General features: G+C 53.1%; 6 annotated features.

The window, feature by feature from the left end:
* Nucleotides 2,280-2,783: an enhancer, noted in NCBI's record as "H3K27ac-H3K4me1 hESC enhancer chr7:157314111-157314614 (GRCh37/hg19 assembly coordinates)". NCBI's record gives its function as "activates a minimal SCP1, AML or CMV promoter by ChIP-STARR-seq in naive H9 embryonic stem cells {active_cell/tissue: H9 hESC(naive)}" and the evidence as "EXISTENCE:reporter gene assay evidence [ECO:0000049][PMID:30033119]".
* Nucleotides 2,784-3,287: an enhancer, noted in NCBI's record as "H3K27ac-H3K4me1 hESC enhancer chr7:157313607-157314110 (GRCh37/hg19 assembly coordinates)". NCBI's record gives its function as "activates a minimal SCP1, AML or CMV promoter by ChIP-STARR-seq in naive H9 embryonic stem cells {active_cell/tissue: H9 hESC(naive)}" and the evidence as "EXISTENCE:reporter gene assay evidence [ECO:0000049][PMID:30033119]".
* Nucleotides 7,809-7,978: an enhancer, noted in NCBI's record as "experimental_97964 CRE fragment used in MPRA reporter constructs". NCBI's record gives its function as "activates a minimal promoter by MPRAs in K562 erythroleukemia cells, with activity observed for both the introgressed and non-introgressed 7:157309001 variant alleles {active_cell/tissue: K562}" and the evidence as "EXISTENCE:reporter gene assay evidence [ECO:0000049][PMID:34662402]".
* Nucleotides 8,130-9,060: an enhancer, noted in NCBI's record as "H3K4me1 hESC enhancer chr7:157307834-157308764 (GRCh37/hg19 assembly coordinates)". NCBI's record gives its function as "activates a minimal SCP1, AML or CMV promoter by ChIP-STARR-seq in naive H9 embryonic stem cells {active_cell/tissue: H9 hESC(naive)}" and the evidence as "EXISTENCE:reporter gene assay evidence [ECO:0000049][PMID:30033119]".
* Nucleotides 10,263-10,763: an enhancer, noted in NCBI's record as "H3K4me1 hESC enhancer chr7:157306131-157306631 (GRCh37/hg19 assembly coordinates)". NCBI's record gives its function as "activates a minimal SCP1, AML or CMV promoter by ChIP-STARR-seq in naive H9 embryonic stem cells {active_cell/tissue: H9 hESC(naive)}" and the evidence as "EXISTENCE:reporter gene assay evidence [ECO:0000049][PMID:30033119]".
* Nucleotides 10,764-11,264: an enhancer, noted in NCBI's record as "H3K4me1 hESC enhancer chr7:157305630-157306130 (GRCh37/hg19 assembly coordinates)". NCBI's record gives its function as "activates a minimal SCP1, AML or CMV promoter by ChIP-STARR-seq in naive H9 embryonic stem cells {active_cell/tissue: H9 hESC(naive)}" and the evidence as "EXISTENCE:reporter gene assay evidence [ECO:0000049][PMID:30033119]".

Genomic DNA, 15,914 nt, shown 5'->3' with positions numbered 1-15,914 from the left:
TCGGGGCTCCTCAGGCCAGGCCTGGGGACCCTCCCACTCACCCTCAGAAGAGGGCCCCTGAGCCAGAGCTGCTCCCATGGGGCAGAGCAGAGGAAGGAGTAGCTGTACACACTGAAGAGTGAAGAGAGAGGAGCGCCCCGCGGCCATTCCTGGAGATGCCAGGGTGGAGGCCAGGGCAGAGCCCAGAGGGACTGCAAGGGGGCCCTTCCCAGTCTCTCCGCACCAAGGTGGCGTCCGGCCTTCTCACCCTGAGCTCCTGAGCACTCCAGGAGGCGGCTCTGCACACTCCAGGCTCACTCTCTGACCCCTGCAGCCAGGCGCTGGCCCATTATCCAGAACAGAAGCCAGAGACGGGCAAAGTCCAGGCAAAGCTGCTGTCCCCAGGCCCAGGCTCGGCACCCACACAAGTCCCCAGGGCCCCTCACTCCCTTGCAGGGTCCTGACCAGACCCTGGCCTGATGCATGCCCTTCAGTCTCTAGGCACAGACTTGGGGTGCAAACCCAGCCCGGTCTAGGCACAGATTTGGGGTGCAAACCCAGCCCAGGCATCTGTCTGGGAGCCCCGACAGCCTCCTCAGCTCTGTGTAGCCCCCAGCACCTGCACATCCCAGCACGGGCTGGGGCGGGCCGAAGTCGGTTCAAATGGTCCATCCAGCCATGTGGCCACAGGGACCTTCCTTCCCCTCTTGGAGCCCGAGTTTCCTCTGCTGGAAAGTGGGACGGTGGCCGCAGTGATCGCAGCCATGAGGAGCAGCACCTCGCAGAGCACTGGGGCTGGAACCGCTCCACGCCCTCACCTTCACTCTTGTGCAGCTTGAGAGGCAGCTGGAATTCTCAAGGCAGCAGTGAGGCTCCACCAGGAAGTGCACTGTTGTCTCCATTCGTTTTAAGCAGCCAGTGTTTGCAGAATGCTGGTGCCGGGCAGGGGGCTGGTAAGGGGATGCCAAGCCTCCTGCTGCGGCACAGCTTCCAGCTCTGGGACCCCACGTCCTTCCCCTCCCCAGCCCCCCACCATCCCTGCTGCCCACCTCACAGCCTCCCACACCTGCAGCCTTAAGCCCTCATCCTCATACAGGAGGCCAGGCCCTGTGCTTCTGTGGACAGACAGCAGCGTCGAGGCCTCTCTCCTCCCCGTGTGTGTCCATCAGGCCTGACCTGGACTTTCCCAGCAGAGCAGGAGCTGCCGGAGGCTGCGGGTTTCTGAGTGTGCCTCAGGGCAGTGTTTCCTGGAGCAATGCAGCTCTCAGCAACCTGCTGACATCTTTCTTACCTCTGGTCTTTTACCTGTTTTGCAAACTTTGTCTCCAAAGTTTTTGTCAAAAGAAGAGAAAGAAGAGAGTGAGATGTTCAGCAGACATCTGAACTCCTTGGAGTGGCAAGAGGGAGGGAGGATGAAATCAACAGATTCTCTCTTGGCCGGATCTTGATGGGGCTGAGCTATTTCTTTCCTTGGAAGAACCTAAGTCCTTGGGAGTCTCTTTGAGACTCTTCTGGGGCCATATGGGGTTGTATTTAATTGACACTTTCAAATCCTGGATAGATCTACGCATGCGTCTGTAGACGTGGTGGTACATGTATGCCCACACAGTGCACACGCCCACACGCGCATCTCCGTTCACGAAGTCTTACGTCTGTGTAGACACACGAAGCATGCACACACATGCACCTGCAGAAATGACCAGTCTCTTGCACGCCACTGTGCACGGTTCCTAATTCCACGTGTCTGGATCTAGTGGTCACGTGATTTTCAACATCCTCAGCCTAAAGCCAGATCAAACTCCGGGTTCCCAACCACATCCAAGGTCGGCCGCACCAGTGAGGCCACGCTCAGCCCCCTCCATGGCTGCTCCCTGGGACCCAGTTCCAAAAGCCCCATGGGCGGGTGCAGGGCCTTCTCTGGGCTGGGCCTGAGGGCGTCTTTCTGAGCGCCAGCCCCACCCCCTAGGTGCTAAGGGGCACCAAGCTGGCCCTCGCGTCTGAGACCCTGTGAAGAGCTGAGTCGCTGGTGGAGAGTTCTGCTAACTTCTCTCTCATGGGTTATGAGACGTAAATGAGGTGAAGGATTTGATGTTCGTTTTTATTTACAATAGGCCAGGGAATAAAGAAGAAAATAGGGGGTGAGGACATTCAGATGCCCAGGGACCACTCGGCCCGTCACGCCAAGTCCCTCCTGTCTCAGGAAGGTTCTGCAGCCGCCTGGGGCCTCCTGTCACTCCTGAGCAGGAATCGCGGCTGAAGAGGTCGGCGCTGTGGCTCCATTCGCTGCCAACTGCAGCGTTCGAAACGCCCAGCTCCTCATTCAAAACCATCTTTTTTGTACATGCACACTCATCTCTATTTTATTTCCCGACATAATTACAATTGCGATATAGGAATAACTTGTTTAATTCATCAAGCCGCTGGAAACAGCTTCTTCCGGATACAGGCGCTGCCTTTGCCCCCAACCCCCTGCTTCCATTTTAATAAATCCAGCTGCATGATCATTGGAGCTCTTTTCCTTTCCACTCCTGCTGTATTACCCTTGGAGATGAATCACCGTCTCTGAAGGCGTGGGAATGGCTCTTGGGGAGGCAGGCACCACCCTCTGGCCCGCGGCTCCCACCAGCCCTCGCCACACTCAGCCGGGAGAGGAGCGCCACCATGCAGACCCTGACTGTGGCCTGTGGCCTGGCCCACACCTCAGGGCCCTCCTCCCACTCACTGCCCTGCGACTCTCGCGCGCCACTCCACATCATCCTTCTGCCCTGTGGAGTGGGGGCAGTATGGGACCAGGTGCTCAGGGTCGCTGGGAAGGTCGGAGCAAGCTGTTCTGTTTGGGGCGAGAACCAGGCCTGGCCTTGGTATGGTGTTGACGCACTAGTGACGTCCCCCCGCCATCAAGCCATGTCTGCCCGAGCGTCTCTTGGCTGACAACGCTGAGCCCTCCAGCTCCACAGAGATGGGGTCACTGTGTTGCACCTCCTGGGTCCAAGGCTGCCGCACAACGTCACAGACACAGGGGCTGACCCAGCAGGAGGACCCAACGCTGGCTCCACCGAACCCTCGCCAGGCGCCCACTCGCCTGTACCTCTCACATCTGCACGGCCAGGCCCACCTCCATCCCAAGAAGGAAGGGGCAGCAGGTCCAGCCACATGCATGTGGGAGAAACTGCAACTCATGGTTGTCTTAGCAGTGCAGACCCTTCAGGAATTCCACCCACTCTCCCTCCTCGCCCCTCCCTCTTCCCCTCTTCAGCCCCTCCTTCTTTCCACCCTCCTCCTCCCCAGTCTCCTTCCCTCTCCTTCTCTTCCTCCCCTCATGGCTGTTGGGGTATCTGAGGAAGCCCCCAGTAGATAACACTCCTTTTGTCCACCCAGGTTGACCAAGTTAAGACAAATCAAGGCCAGTTTGTGGTGGCTCACACCTGTAGCCCCAGCACTTTGGGAGGTACAGGTGGGAAGACTGCTTCAGCCCAGGAGTTCAAGAACAGCCTGAACAATATAGGGAGACCCCTTCTCTACAAAAAAAAAAATTAAAAATTAGCCAGGCATGGAAGCATGTGCCTGTGGTCCCAGCTACTCAGGAGGCTGAGGTGGGAGGATCACCCTAGCCCAGCGGTTGAGGCTGCAGTGAGCCAGGATCTCACCACTGCACTCCAGCCTTAGCAACAGAGCGAGACCTTGTCTCAAAACAAAAAGGAATAGAAAAAAGAAACCGAGAGCAAAGACTGCAGCCAGGATATCTCCCCAGGTGCTGATTCAGCTCAGGGGACTCGGGGCCTCAGTGCAGCCCCAGCATAGGGAGGGGACAGCGAGCTGCAGGCGGTGGGAGCTGTCTGCCCTGCGGCAGCCACCAGCCTGGAGCAGGTGCACCCACCTTTTGAACTTTGTTGCCCCAGGGGTGACTTGGAGTCAGCCCTTGAGCTGCTTCCTCCTGGAGGCGCCTGGGGCCCTCTCCCCCAGGAGAAAACTCCCGTTTCCTCACTGACAGCACAGGCGAGTTCTTCCCCACCCCCACCTCCCCGCCCACCACCGACCTGCCTCACGTGCACTCATTTTCTTTTCCTTTTCATGGAAATCCAAAAAATTTATCTGGGAGCAACAAGACCAGCCAGTTCCTGCAGATTCGAGGCCCAGCCCGCAGTCCAGCCCGTCATCTCCCTGGGGACCAGGCGCCAACACCTAGCTCTGGAGGCAGAAGGCCCCAGGGTAACGGGATCTGATACAAGAGCTGGGGTCGGGCTCCTGATATGGCCTACAAAACAAGATGGCTGGAAAGCAGTTCGCTGCCTTAGGTGACAGGGGAAAGGGGGCAGAACTGTGAACCGTGAGCTCAGCCTGCGGCCTCTGCAGCAGTCACCACCGACCCCCGGCCACCTACCCCAAACAGGAGGCAGAGATCTCTCACCGTCCCCCACCTCAGGATCCTGAAGCAGGAGCCCTGGAGCCCTCCCAGGGCCGGTGATCATTTTCAGGAGGAAGCTAAACAGAGCTGTCTTTAGTCCAAAGGAAGGGCGTGCTGACAGTGGGAATTCAGGCTTCATGGAGGGTGAGGCTGGAGCAGATAATTATTATCTTCTTCTAATTCTCAGAAAATAAACAGAATACAGAAAGCAACAGAGCAGTCGGCCAGAGATCATGTTGGGTTTGAAGACGGTGGTGGCCACAGCCATTTGAACGGGCCAAGGCCAGCAAGACCCAGGTCCCAGCACTCAGAGTGCCCTCATGCCACACCCCACCCAGGGGAGGGCCCAGGCATGCACTGGGCTCGTCCAGCCACCCCTGGTGTCCCTCACTGCAGAGCATCACGTCATCCCAGTGTTCCCGCAGAGGAGCCTGGACGTCAGGGAGGCCCGGGAGCTATGGGGTCCCAGCCAGTTACATCCCGACCCTCACACCTTGGGAAAGACGGCTGGGGTGGGAGGTTGTGGAATAGTATTCATGTAAACTTATTTTTACAAGTTCAGGTGTATATTGTTTATTGTTTTAAAACAAAATAGAAACTTTGGAAATACTGAGAAATAAGTCCATTTTGGTAAACTCCAAAATTCTGAAATCAAGATTTAATTTAGGGATGACACTCACTGTCTCATGTCAAATGGGTCCCAATCAAAGGTGTCTGGGTCCTGACCCACCTCCCCAGCTCCCCAAGCTCCCCAGAACCAGGTCTGGAGACTGCAGGGCTGAGGGCTGCTGGTCCTGAATGCTCTGCGGGAGAGGGGACAGTCCTGGTGCGAGGCTTCCAGAGGGGCTGAGAGACGCCCACTCCTTCAAGGCCTGACTTCACAGGACCCCTCTCTGTGTCCAGGCAGGGCAGTTGGGAGACCTGGGGAAGGTGGTATCAGGGGCTAAGGGAAGCAGGCACAGCAGAGACAGCAGACGAGGCTTGGGGTGTGCAGGGTGTGTGTGTCTGTGTGCACATGCTGTAGCATGTGTGTGTGCATGTCTGTGTGTATATGTGTGCATCTCTGTGCATGTATATGCATGTGTGTCTGTGTGCATGCATGTGCGTGTGTGTGTCTGTGTGTTCATCTGTGCATGTGCATGTGTGTGTGTGCATGCATGTGTGCATGTCTTTGCATGCATGTGCATGTGTGTGCGTGTGTGTCTGTGTGTTCATCTGTGCACATGCATGTATGTGTGTGTGCATGTGTGCTTCTGTGTACACATTTGTGTCAATGTGAGGGATGGTAGGGTAGAGAAGTCCCAGAGATGAGGCCCTGGGGGACAGCAACGGGATGGTGGAGGGAGGCACCAGCAGTCTCTGACCATCTGGAAGGCTGGGACTGCACAGAAGAAAGTGATGAAGCCACCTTGCAGCTCTGAGCAGTGAGGGCCCAAGAGGTCAAACCAGCCCACAGTAGTGTCCGAGGGACCAGCTGACAGCAGCTTCCGGGTGTTGGGCTCGGCTGCACAGTGCATGGCGCTGGGAACTTGCAGGGCCCTCCTCTGTTCAAATTCCTTAGCAACGACCAAGGAGGTGTCCTCTTTGTGTCAAGAGAGAATTCAGACCCAGAGATGCCACATGGGGCTCCAGGATCTCTCTCAGGCTGAGCAGCTGCTGACCAGTGCAGCCTCCATATGCTGTGTGCAGCCCACAGGGCCATGCCATGGCTGGATTTCAACTCCAACTTGGTCCTCTGCCAGGGCCCTTGTGCAGTGCACAACATGTACAACTGGACTGGGGTTGGGGGAAGTGAGGACGTCTGGCCTGCATGAAGAAGCACAGAGAAACATCAGTGTAGACTCCTGGTTCCCCCTGGCTTGGGGATGCTGAAGCCCTGCTAGCTGTAAGGGGATGGGGAGGCCTCCACCCTTTCCAGGGGATGTGGAAGGAACACACTCCCCAACTCCACGCCTCAGATCCTGTTCCCTGGAGCCAGCCCTGTCCTGATCGTCCGAGAGGTCTCATCCTACTCTCTTCCTGCCCCAAAGCTTCTGGGCAACCCCTGCCCAGACCCCGAGGCGGTACCAGAGGCAGTGCCAGGGCTCAGGGGGCTGGCACTGGGTTCCTTGTTAGGGTGGGTATGGTAAGCAGGACCACACCCCAGGGAGGAAGCCTGGGTCCTCTGGGACGTCAGGTGCTGGCACCCAACAGGGCTGGGCTCAGAGATGCTGGAGGAGTGAGAGAGCGGCTGGGGCCGACCACAAGCCCTGCCCCAGGCACTGGCTGACCATCACCTTTTCCCAGGGAGGCCCCTAGCAGCCACCCTGCCTCTGCACCACCTGCCTGGGGCAAAACACCAGCCGGGCCCCGCAGAGGGCACGACCCAAAGAGCCTGGACCACCCAGTCTCCTGGGCCCGCCTTCTCCCTGTCGGCAGCTCCCCCGACCCACTCACCTTCCAGGAAACCCCCAGGATGCAGGTGAAGCCCCTGAGCAGGTGAGGAAGTTCAGACACCTGAGGCTATCGTGGGAGACCCGGGTCCTTGTAAAGAGCCCCCACCCTCCCCAGCTTGGAGGCCCTCACCTCTGCCTGCCAGCTCTCCAATACCCAGGCCCACAGCAGGAGCCCAGGCTTCCCAGACTGGCAGCACCCTGGGTGTCAGAGACACCCGCCCTGCCTGCAGCCTCAGGACACGTGGCTGGCATCGTTCCTGCAACTCCCATCACAGGACTCGCCTGGGGCACTTGCTGGAAACCCAAGTTCCGGGGCCCAGCCCAAGCCCACTGCATCCAGGTCTCTGCGAGCAGAGCTGGAAATCAGGGTTTTTAATGGGTGTTGTGAGGCTCGGGGCCAGCAGTTTCGGGAGACGGACTCACCTTCTGCCCCACCGCGGCCACAGCAGCACAGCCAGCACAATCGGAGACGTCCACGCGGCCGCTGACCTTGCCACATGCTCCACTCTGTCCTGTGGGCTTTTTCTTAATTTTCCCTTCCCTGACTCCCTGAACTTTGTTAACCTTTGTAAACTACTCCAAATCCTATTGTGAACAAGACAAAAACCAGAAGTAACACCACCGATGGGATCACATCACACCAAGAGCTCGGCTCAGGAAGTCATCAGACTTCCCAGTGACTGCTGGGATTTTCTAGGAACTTACTCTTTGCCCAGGACAGACCACACATTCAAGCCTGTTCCCAAGCCAGGTGGGGTTGGCGTTAGCCAGCAATGCTGTCCAGATGTGGACACAGGCATCTGCTGCAACCCTCAGGCCTCACACCCCTGCACGGCTTCATCCCCCAAACCCAAATGCCACAGAAACCCACCCTCCCTGTCAGCACCCTGCCCAGACACACATCTCCGACGGCTTCATGGACGTCCCGTGCACATCCCAGATCTCATGAGGCTGATGCCGCCTCGTGTCCTCAGACGGCCCTCTCAGGTGGCTGCTGCACCCGCCCAGGCAGCCAAGGAAAGCATGTGGGGCCATCCTGGCTCCTCTCCCTCGCATCCCACACCGACACGGGCTGTAGCCTGTGGGGCCATTCCAGCTGCTCTCTGTAAGAGTTAAAGAAAGAGGAAAGAAACGGGAAAGCAGCTCCACAGTCAAGGACAGGTTTATTTCAGAGAATAAACCTGAGAGGGCCTCCTGGCCAATTTTGGTCAGGAGTGTTCTTTCTTACAGATTAAGGACATTTAAGGGTTTGGAAGCAGGGAGCTTATCATAGGTTCGGAATGTTTCTATGTCCCAGCTGCTCTCCCCTCCCACCCCACACCAATAGCTGCCGCTGCCTCTAGTCTGGAAATACAGAGAACCCGGCCTCCTGCACCCACCTCCACAGCTGTCTCCAAATCCCAGCCACCGCGCCTCCTCCCTGGGTGGCTGGAAAGCCTCTGGGTGTGTCTCTCCACTCCAGGGGCCCCGAGGGCCCCTCCCAACACGGCTCCAGGAGCTTGTGAGTCGCTTCTTCTGCCCCTTCGCTTCCTAAAAATCTCAGAGCTGTTGGGTACAGCAGAGCAAGGCAGATATTTGTACCAGGTGTGGCGGAGCTGCAGACACCCAGAACAGGGCAGGGTGGGTGGAACACAGGAGGGGAGGGGAGGCACCGGAGATGCAGCCCCGTGGGAGGGATATGCCAGGAGCCTCAGAGCTCCAGTGGTTTAGGAAGCCTGTCCCGTCACCCCCTTGGGTGGGTGTCCACTCCCTCGTCCTCCCCCACACTGAGGGTGGCGCACCCGCTCAGGAGCCAGGGTCCCAGGCCCTGGAGCCACCCCCAATGCCACAGCCCCCAGTCTCCATGCCACTGTCGGCAGGCGAGGAGGTGCCTTGAGCTGACGCTGGCCAAGAGGGTCTTGTGTCCCCAGCAGTATCAGCGTCTGTCACGGTTAGGAATTCCGCAGATTCTTTTAAACGGTGCCAGTCACCACCAGAGGGAAACAGACAGATCTCACTCTGTAAATAAAACTAATCCAACTGTCTAAATTTCCAATTTCTACTTCTGTTCTTACTAAACTGCATAAAAATTCCTTGATTTGTTTGCCTTGTATTGAAATAAAAGCTTATTAAACATACTGAAGCTTGTGATCATTTTAGGTGCTTGCCTAAGACATGCTGTGGTAATAAACGCCCTGTTACCCCTCAGCAGGCTCCCGTCCTTCCAAAGTGGTGAACGACAGCGTATGCTGGGACCTACCCTGCCTCCATCCCCTGCCCTGCTGTCTGGGCAGGGAGAGGCCACAGCCTCCACCCTCCTTTAACCTGAGGGTCCTCTGCCTGGCTCCATTCCCTGATTTCTGTGGGAATAATGTTTTCTCCTGCTTGTCTGCATGTCTCAAGGACCGAATGTTTGTGTTCCCCTGAGTCCATCTGCGGCAGCCCTGACCCCCAGGGCAGACCCCAAGGTCACAGATGTGGCCTCTAAGGGACTCACTAAGGTTAGATGAGGTCGCGAGGGTGAGACCCATGGTGGGATCAGTGCCCTTATCAGAGGAGACACCAGAACTCTCTCCCGCACGTGAGGGCACAGCAAGAAGATGGCTGTGCAGAAGGGCCCCCACCAGAAACTGAATCAGCCACACCATAACTTTGGGCCTCCCACCCCCACAGCTGGAAGATAAAAGTCTGCTGTGGTGGCTGCCCGAGCAGACTAAGACAGTGTCTGCTTTGGGGCAGCTTGGTCAGTTCCATCTCGGGATTAGGATGTTACAAGCCTGCCCACGCACCTGCCCCTTTTCCCTCACTGGACGGACTGCCTGCTGGGCTACCCCAGGGAGGCCGCAGTGCTCCTATCTGTGGCATTCATCGTGGAAGCCACCCCCTTCGAGGCTGCCACAGAGCCCAGGGGCTGCAGGACTCAGATTGTTACAGATCAAAATCATCTGAAACAGAAGGTCAGGAAGGCAGAGCCCCAAAGCACAGGGCGGCTGTAGGAGGAGACCCCGCCTGGCCGAGCCCACTGGCCTGGAAGCTGGCCCAGCCGGGAGCTGAAAATCAAAAATTGCCTCTTGTAATCTCAGCACTTTGGGAGGCAGAGGTGGGTGGATGACCTGAGGTCAGGAGTTTGAGACCAGCCTGGCCAACATGGTGAAACCCTGTCTCAACTAAAAATACAATAATTTACCGGGTTAAATCTCAGCTACTCGGGAGGCTGAGGTAGGAGAATCGCTTGAACCCGGGCGGCAGAGGTTGAAGTGAGCCGAGATCGCGCCACTGCACTCCAGACTCCAGCCTGGACGAGAGGGCGAGACTCGGTCTCAAAAAAAGAAAAAAAAAAGAAAAGAAAAGAAAAGAAAATTGCCTCTTGTGCTGTTGTTTTCCAGGCTCCCAGCTCCCATGGAAGTTGGAAAGGGGTCCTCAGGACATCCGAATCCCTCAGAAACAGCACGAAGGGAGGTGAGGTGCGACCCACAATAATGAAACCGTTCTTCCCACAGTGCGCGTCAGGCAGAAGCCAAAATGACGGAGGCCTTTGGTGCAACCGAATCAACTTTGATTTCAGCACAAAACCGAAAGGGGCAAGAAGCGTTTGAGCGGGAGACAAAAGTCGCTTTAAAGGTCACACCTTCAAACGTCGTGGTAACAAAAACATGAAATCAAAATCATTTTCTCTGATCTGGAAGTAAAGGTCGAATCGACAAGCCTTTGAGTGAGTTTGGAAAACAGCGATCTTTTCATTGTTTGCCAGCCCCGGCCTCCCAACAGGTATTGGGCCCCACCTCCATGAGACGCAGGTCTTTATTCTCCAACAAAAGGAAGGAAAGGTCGAGAGAGCGGAGCAGGAGGACAGGGGCGTTCACGGGCAGGAGAGGGACGTTCACGGGCAGGAGAGGGACGTTCACAGGCAGGAGGAGAGTCTGGGACGTTCACAGGAAGGAGAGGGACGTTCACAGAAAGGAGGAGAGGGGCGTTCACAGGCAGGAGGCACCACGGCTGCCAAGCCCAAGGGCGAGCTCACAGGCAGGAGAGCGGCGGGGATCCCTCTACAAGCTCAAATGTACCTTAGAGTTGAGCCAAAGTCTGCTCTGGGACTTCCTCCTCAGAAGGCCAAACTCCTCCCCAACCAGCATCTCCAGCAGCCCCAGGCACGTGTGTGGCCGCCGTGATGTCATCTGCAGGTCAACATCCCCTCCTCAGCCTGATGACACAGATGAGACAGGCCTTTGTTGTGACATTGCGGACATCCAATCATTGACTTTCCAGCGGTGAATGTGACGATATCAAATCCTTTTGTAGTCAACATTTATAAAAATGTGAATTTATTTTATTTTTTTAATTATACTTTAAGTTCTAGAGTACATGTGCACAACCTGCAGGTTTGTTACATATGTATACATTTGCCATGTTGGTGTGCTGCACCCATCAACTCGTCATTTACCTTAGGCATATCTCCTAATGCTATCCCTCCTCCTTCTCCCACCCCACAACAGGCCCCGGTGTGTGATGTTCCCCTTCCTGTGTCCAAGTGTTCTCATTGTTTAATTCCCATCGATGAGTGAGAACATGCAGTGTTTGGTTTTCTGTCCTTGCAATAGTTTGCTGAGAATGATGGTTTCCAGCTTCATCCATGTCCCTACAAAGGACATGAACTCATCCTTTTTTATGGCTGCATAGTATTCCATGGTGTATATGTGCCACATTTTCTTAATCCAGTCTATCATTGATGGACATTTGGGTTGGTTCCAAGTCTTTGCTATTGTGAATAGTTCTGCAATAAACATATGTGTGCATGTGTCTTTATAGCAGCATGATTTATAATCCTTTGGGTATATACTGAGTAATGGGATGGCTGGGTCAAATGGAATTTCTAGTTCTAGATCCTTGAGGAATCGCCACACTGTCTTCCACAATGGTTGAACTAGTTTACAGTCCCACCAACAGTGTAAAAGTGTTCCTATTTCTCCACATCATTTCCAGCACCTGTTGTTTCCTGACTTTTTAATGATCGCCATTCTAACTGGTGTGAGATGGTATCTCACTGTGGTTTTGATTTGCATTTCTCTGATGGCCAGTGATGATGAGCATTTTTTCATGTGTCTTTTGGCTGCATAAATGTCTTCTTTTGAGAAGTGTCTGTTCATGTCCTTCACCCACTTTTTGATGGGGTTGTTTGTTTATTCTTGTAAATTTGTTTGAGTTCTTTGTAGATTCTGGATATTAGCCCTTTGTCAGATGAGTAGATTGCAAAAATTTTCTCCCATTCTGTAGGTTACCTGTTCATACTGATGGTAGTTTCTTTAGCTGTGCAGAAGCTCTTTAGTTTAATTAGATCCCATTTGTCAATTTTGGCTTTTGTTGCCATTGCTTTTGGTGTTTTAGACATGAAGTCCTTGCCCATGCCTATGTCCTGAATGGTGTTGCCTAGGTTTTCTTCTAGGGTTTTTATGGCTTTAGGTCTAACATTTAAGTCTTTAATCCATCTTGAATTAATTTTTATATAAGGTGTAAGGAAGGGATCCAGTTTCAGCTTTCTACATATAGCTAGCCAGTTTTCCCAGCACCATTTATTAAATAGGGAATCCTTTCCCCATTTCTTGTTTTTGTCAGGTTTGTCAAAGATCACATAGTTGTAGATATGAGGCATTATTTCTGAGGTCTCTGTTCTGTTCCGTTGGTCTATATCTCTGTTTTGGTACCAGTACCATGCTGTTTTGGTTACTGTAGCCTTGTAGTATAATTTGAAGTCAGGTAGCGTGATGCCTCCAGCTTTCTTCTTTTGGCTTAGGATTGACTTGGCAATGTGGGCTCTTTTTTGGTTCCATATGAACTTTAAAGTAGTTTTTTCCAATTCTGTGAAGAAAGTCATTGGTCTTGATGGGGATGGCATTGAATCTATAAATTACCTTGGGCAGTATGGCCATTTTCATGATATTGATTCTTCCTATCCATGAGCATGGAATGTTTTTCCATTTGTTTGTGTCCTCTTTTATTTCGTGGAGCAGTGGTTTGTACTTCTCCTTGAAGAGGTCCTTCACATCCCTTGTAAGTTGGATTCCTAGGTATTTTATTCTCTTTGAAGCAACTGTGACTGGGAGTTCACTCATGATTTGGCTCTCTGTTTGTCTGTTATTGGTGTATAGGAATGCTTGTGATTTTTGCACATTGATTTTGTATCCTGAGACTTTTCTGAAGTTGCTTATCAGCTTAAGGAGATTTTGGGCTGAGACAATGGGGTTTTCTAAATATACAATCATGTCATTTGCAAACGGACAATTTGACTTCCTCTTTTCCTAAGTGAATACCCTTTATTTCCTTCTCCTGCCTGATTGCCCTGGCCAGAACTTCCAACACTATGTTGAATAGGAGTGGTGAGAGAGGGCATCCCTGTCTTGTGCCAGTTTTCAAAGGGAATGCTTCCAGTTTTTGCCCATTCAGAATGATATTGGCTGTGGGTTTGTCACAGATAGCTCTTATTATTTTGAGATACGTCCCATCAATATCTAATTTATTGAGAGTTTTTAGCATGAAGGACTGTTGAATTTTGTCAAAGACCTTTTCTGCATCTATTGAGATAATCATATGGTTTTTGTCTTTGGTTCTGTTTATATGCTGGATTACGTTTATTGATTTGTGTATGTTGAACCAGCCTTGCATCCCAGGGATGAAGCCCACTTGATCATGGTGGATAAGCTTTTTGATGTGCTGCTGGATTTGGTTTGCCAGTATTTTATTGAGGATTTTTGCATTGATGTTCATCAGGGATATTGGTCTAAAATTCTCCTTTTTTGTTGTGTCTCTGCCAGGCTTTGGTATTAGGATGATGCTGACCTCATAAAATGAGTTAGGGAGGATTCCCTCTTTTTCTATTGATTGGAATAGTTTCAGAAGGAATGGTACCAGCTCCTCCTTGTACCTCTGGTAGAATTCGGCTGTGCATCCATCTGGTCCTGGACTTTTTTTGGTTGGTAAGCTATTAATTATTGCCTGTTATTGGTCTATTCAGAGATTCAGCTTCTTCCTGGTTTAGTCTTGGGAGAGTGTATGTGTTGAGGAATTTATCCATTTCTTCTAGATTTTCTAGTTTATTTGTGTAGCGGTGTTTATAATATTCTCTGATGGTAGTTTGTATTTCTGTGAGATCGGTGGTGATATCCCCTTTATCATTTTTTATTACGTCTATTTGATTCTTCTCTCTTTTCTTCTTTATTAGTCTTGCTAACGGTCTATCAACCTTGTTGATCTTTTCAAAAAACCAGCTCCTGGATTCATTGATTTTTGAAGGGTTTTTTTTTTTTGTCTCTATCTTCTTCAGTTCTGCTCTGATCTTAGTTATTTCTTGCCTTCTGCTAGGTTTTGAATGTGTTTGCTCTTGCTTCTCTAGTTCTTTTAATTGTGATGTTAGGTTGTCAATTTTAGATCTTTCCTGCTTTCTCTTGTGGGCATTTAGTGCTATAAATTTCCCTCTACACACTGCTTAAAAATATGAATTTAATACTGAAAGGCAGAAAAACAGAGACTCGATCGTATCACAATTACAATCTCTGTAGAATCATCTGATGTGAAGTGTATTCAAACAAAACAACTTTTAAGAATTGTAAATCGTTTGCTTGTACTTAGACCATTGTCTTTCCCAGTCCCGTTTTGGGAGCACTTTTCAACCTGGGCAAGTTAAAAGGTGAATACTAACTTTGCTGTTTCACAGTTTCACAAATAGGAAAAAGACCAGCTTAACGTCCACTTATATCCAAGAAAACATCTTTGATTCAAATGTAAAAAATAGTGAAAAGAAACATGAGGAACCCAAAACTATCTTGCTTTTCCACCAACCTCGACTGGAAGAAAACATCATGCTATCACCATGAGCAGTCCCTCCCCATCTCCATTGCTCTCCCCACTCTCCGTCTCCATCACTCTCCCCCCCCAACTCTCTCTCTTCCCCTCTGTTTCCCTCTCCCCTCTCTCTCCCTCTCCCCTCTCTCTCCCTGTCCCCTCTCTCTCCCTGTCCCCTCTCTCTCCCTGTCCCCTCTCTCTCCCTCTCCCCTCTCTCTCCCTCTCCCCTCTCTCTCCCTCTCCCCTCTCTCTCCCTCTCCCCTCTCTCTCCCTCTCCCCCCTCTCTCCTTCTCCCCATCTCTCTCCCTCTCCCCCCTTCTCCTTCTCTCCCCCCTCTCTCCCTCTCCCTCCTCTCTCCTTCTCTCCCCCCTCTCTCCCTGTCCCCCTCTCCCTCTCCCCTCTCTCTCCCTCTCCCCTCTCTCTCCCTCTCTCCCTCTCTCTCCTTCTCCCGGTCTCTCTCCCTCTCTCCCCCTCTCTCCCTCTTCCCCTCTCTCTCCTTCTCTCCCCCTCTCTCCCTTTCCCCTTCTCTCCCTCTCCCCTTCGCTCTCCCTGTCTCCTCTCTCTCTTTCTCTCCCTCCTCCTCTCTCTCTTTCTCTCCCTCCTCCTGTGTGTCCCCCAGCCTGAGCTTGCATCCTCTGCACCGTACACCTGGCTGTACCCATGACCATTCCCAACAGAAGGAAGCAAAGCTGCCAGTGCCCTCAGCTCTGGGCTTGGAAGTCTCAATATGTCCCTCCTGCCGCACTCTACTGGTCGAAGCTGCAGCCTGTGGGCAGGCCGTGCCTTGGAGGGAGTGTCAGGAGGTTGCCCCTCTGACCAGCCAACTCCAGCTTTAACAGAGTAGCATCCGGGAGCCCCTGCAGACAGCACGCAGCTCAGGCCAGGCTCTAGCTCGCTCCATCTCTGTGCCAGACTGGGCAGGCAGGCACCACCACGTTGGGTTTCCCACCTTCCCAGGGGGACAGAGCAGTGCGCACATGGGACGCAGGAGGCGTGGGCCTGGGCAGGAGCCCGAGGACATGGGTCCTAGAAGGTGGTGATCAGGGCCTCCCAGGGCAGACCCCTGAGGTCTACACTGGCCCTGAGCAGGACTCACAAAGCTGCCTGTGAAACAGCCATTCTAGAAACAGCAGCAAGGGCTCTGCTGGGCTACACAGCAGCTCTCGCGTGGCCATGCCTTTCTGTGGCATTTAATGGCTCCCCTTCTCTGCCTCTCTCTGTAGCCATGTCTCTCTCTCTCTCTCTCTCTGTCACACACACACACACACACACACACACACACA

This window comes from Homo sapiens, chromosome 7 (genome assembly GCF_000001405.40).
Source record: "Homo sapiens chromosome 7, GRCh38.p14 Primary Assembly".
In the NCBI taxonomy this organism is placed as follows: Eukaryota; Metazoa; Chordata; class Mammalia; order Primates; family Hominidae; genus Homo; species Homo sapiens.
Note: the sequence above shows the minus strand (reverse complement) of the source record. Positions and strands in the feature narration are given on the sequence as shown.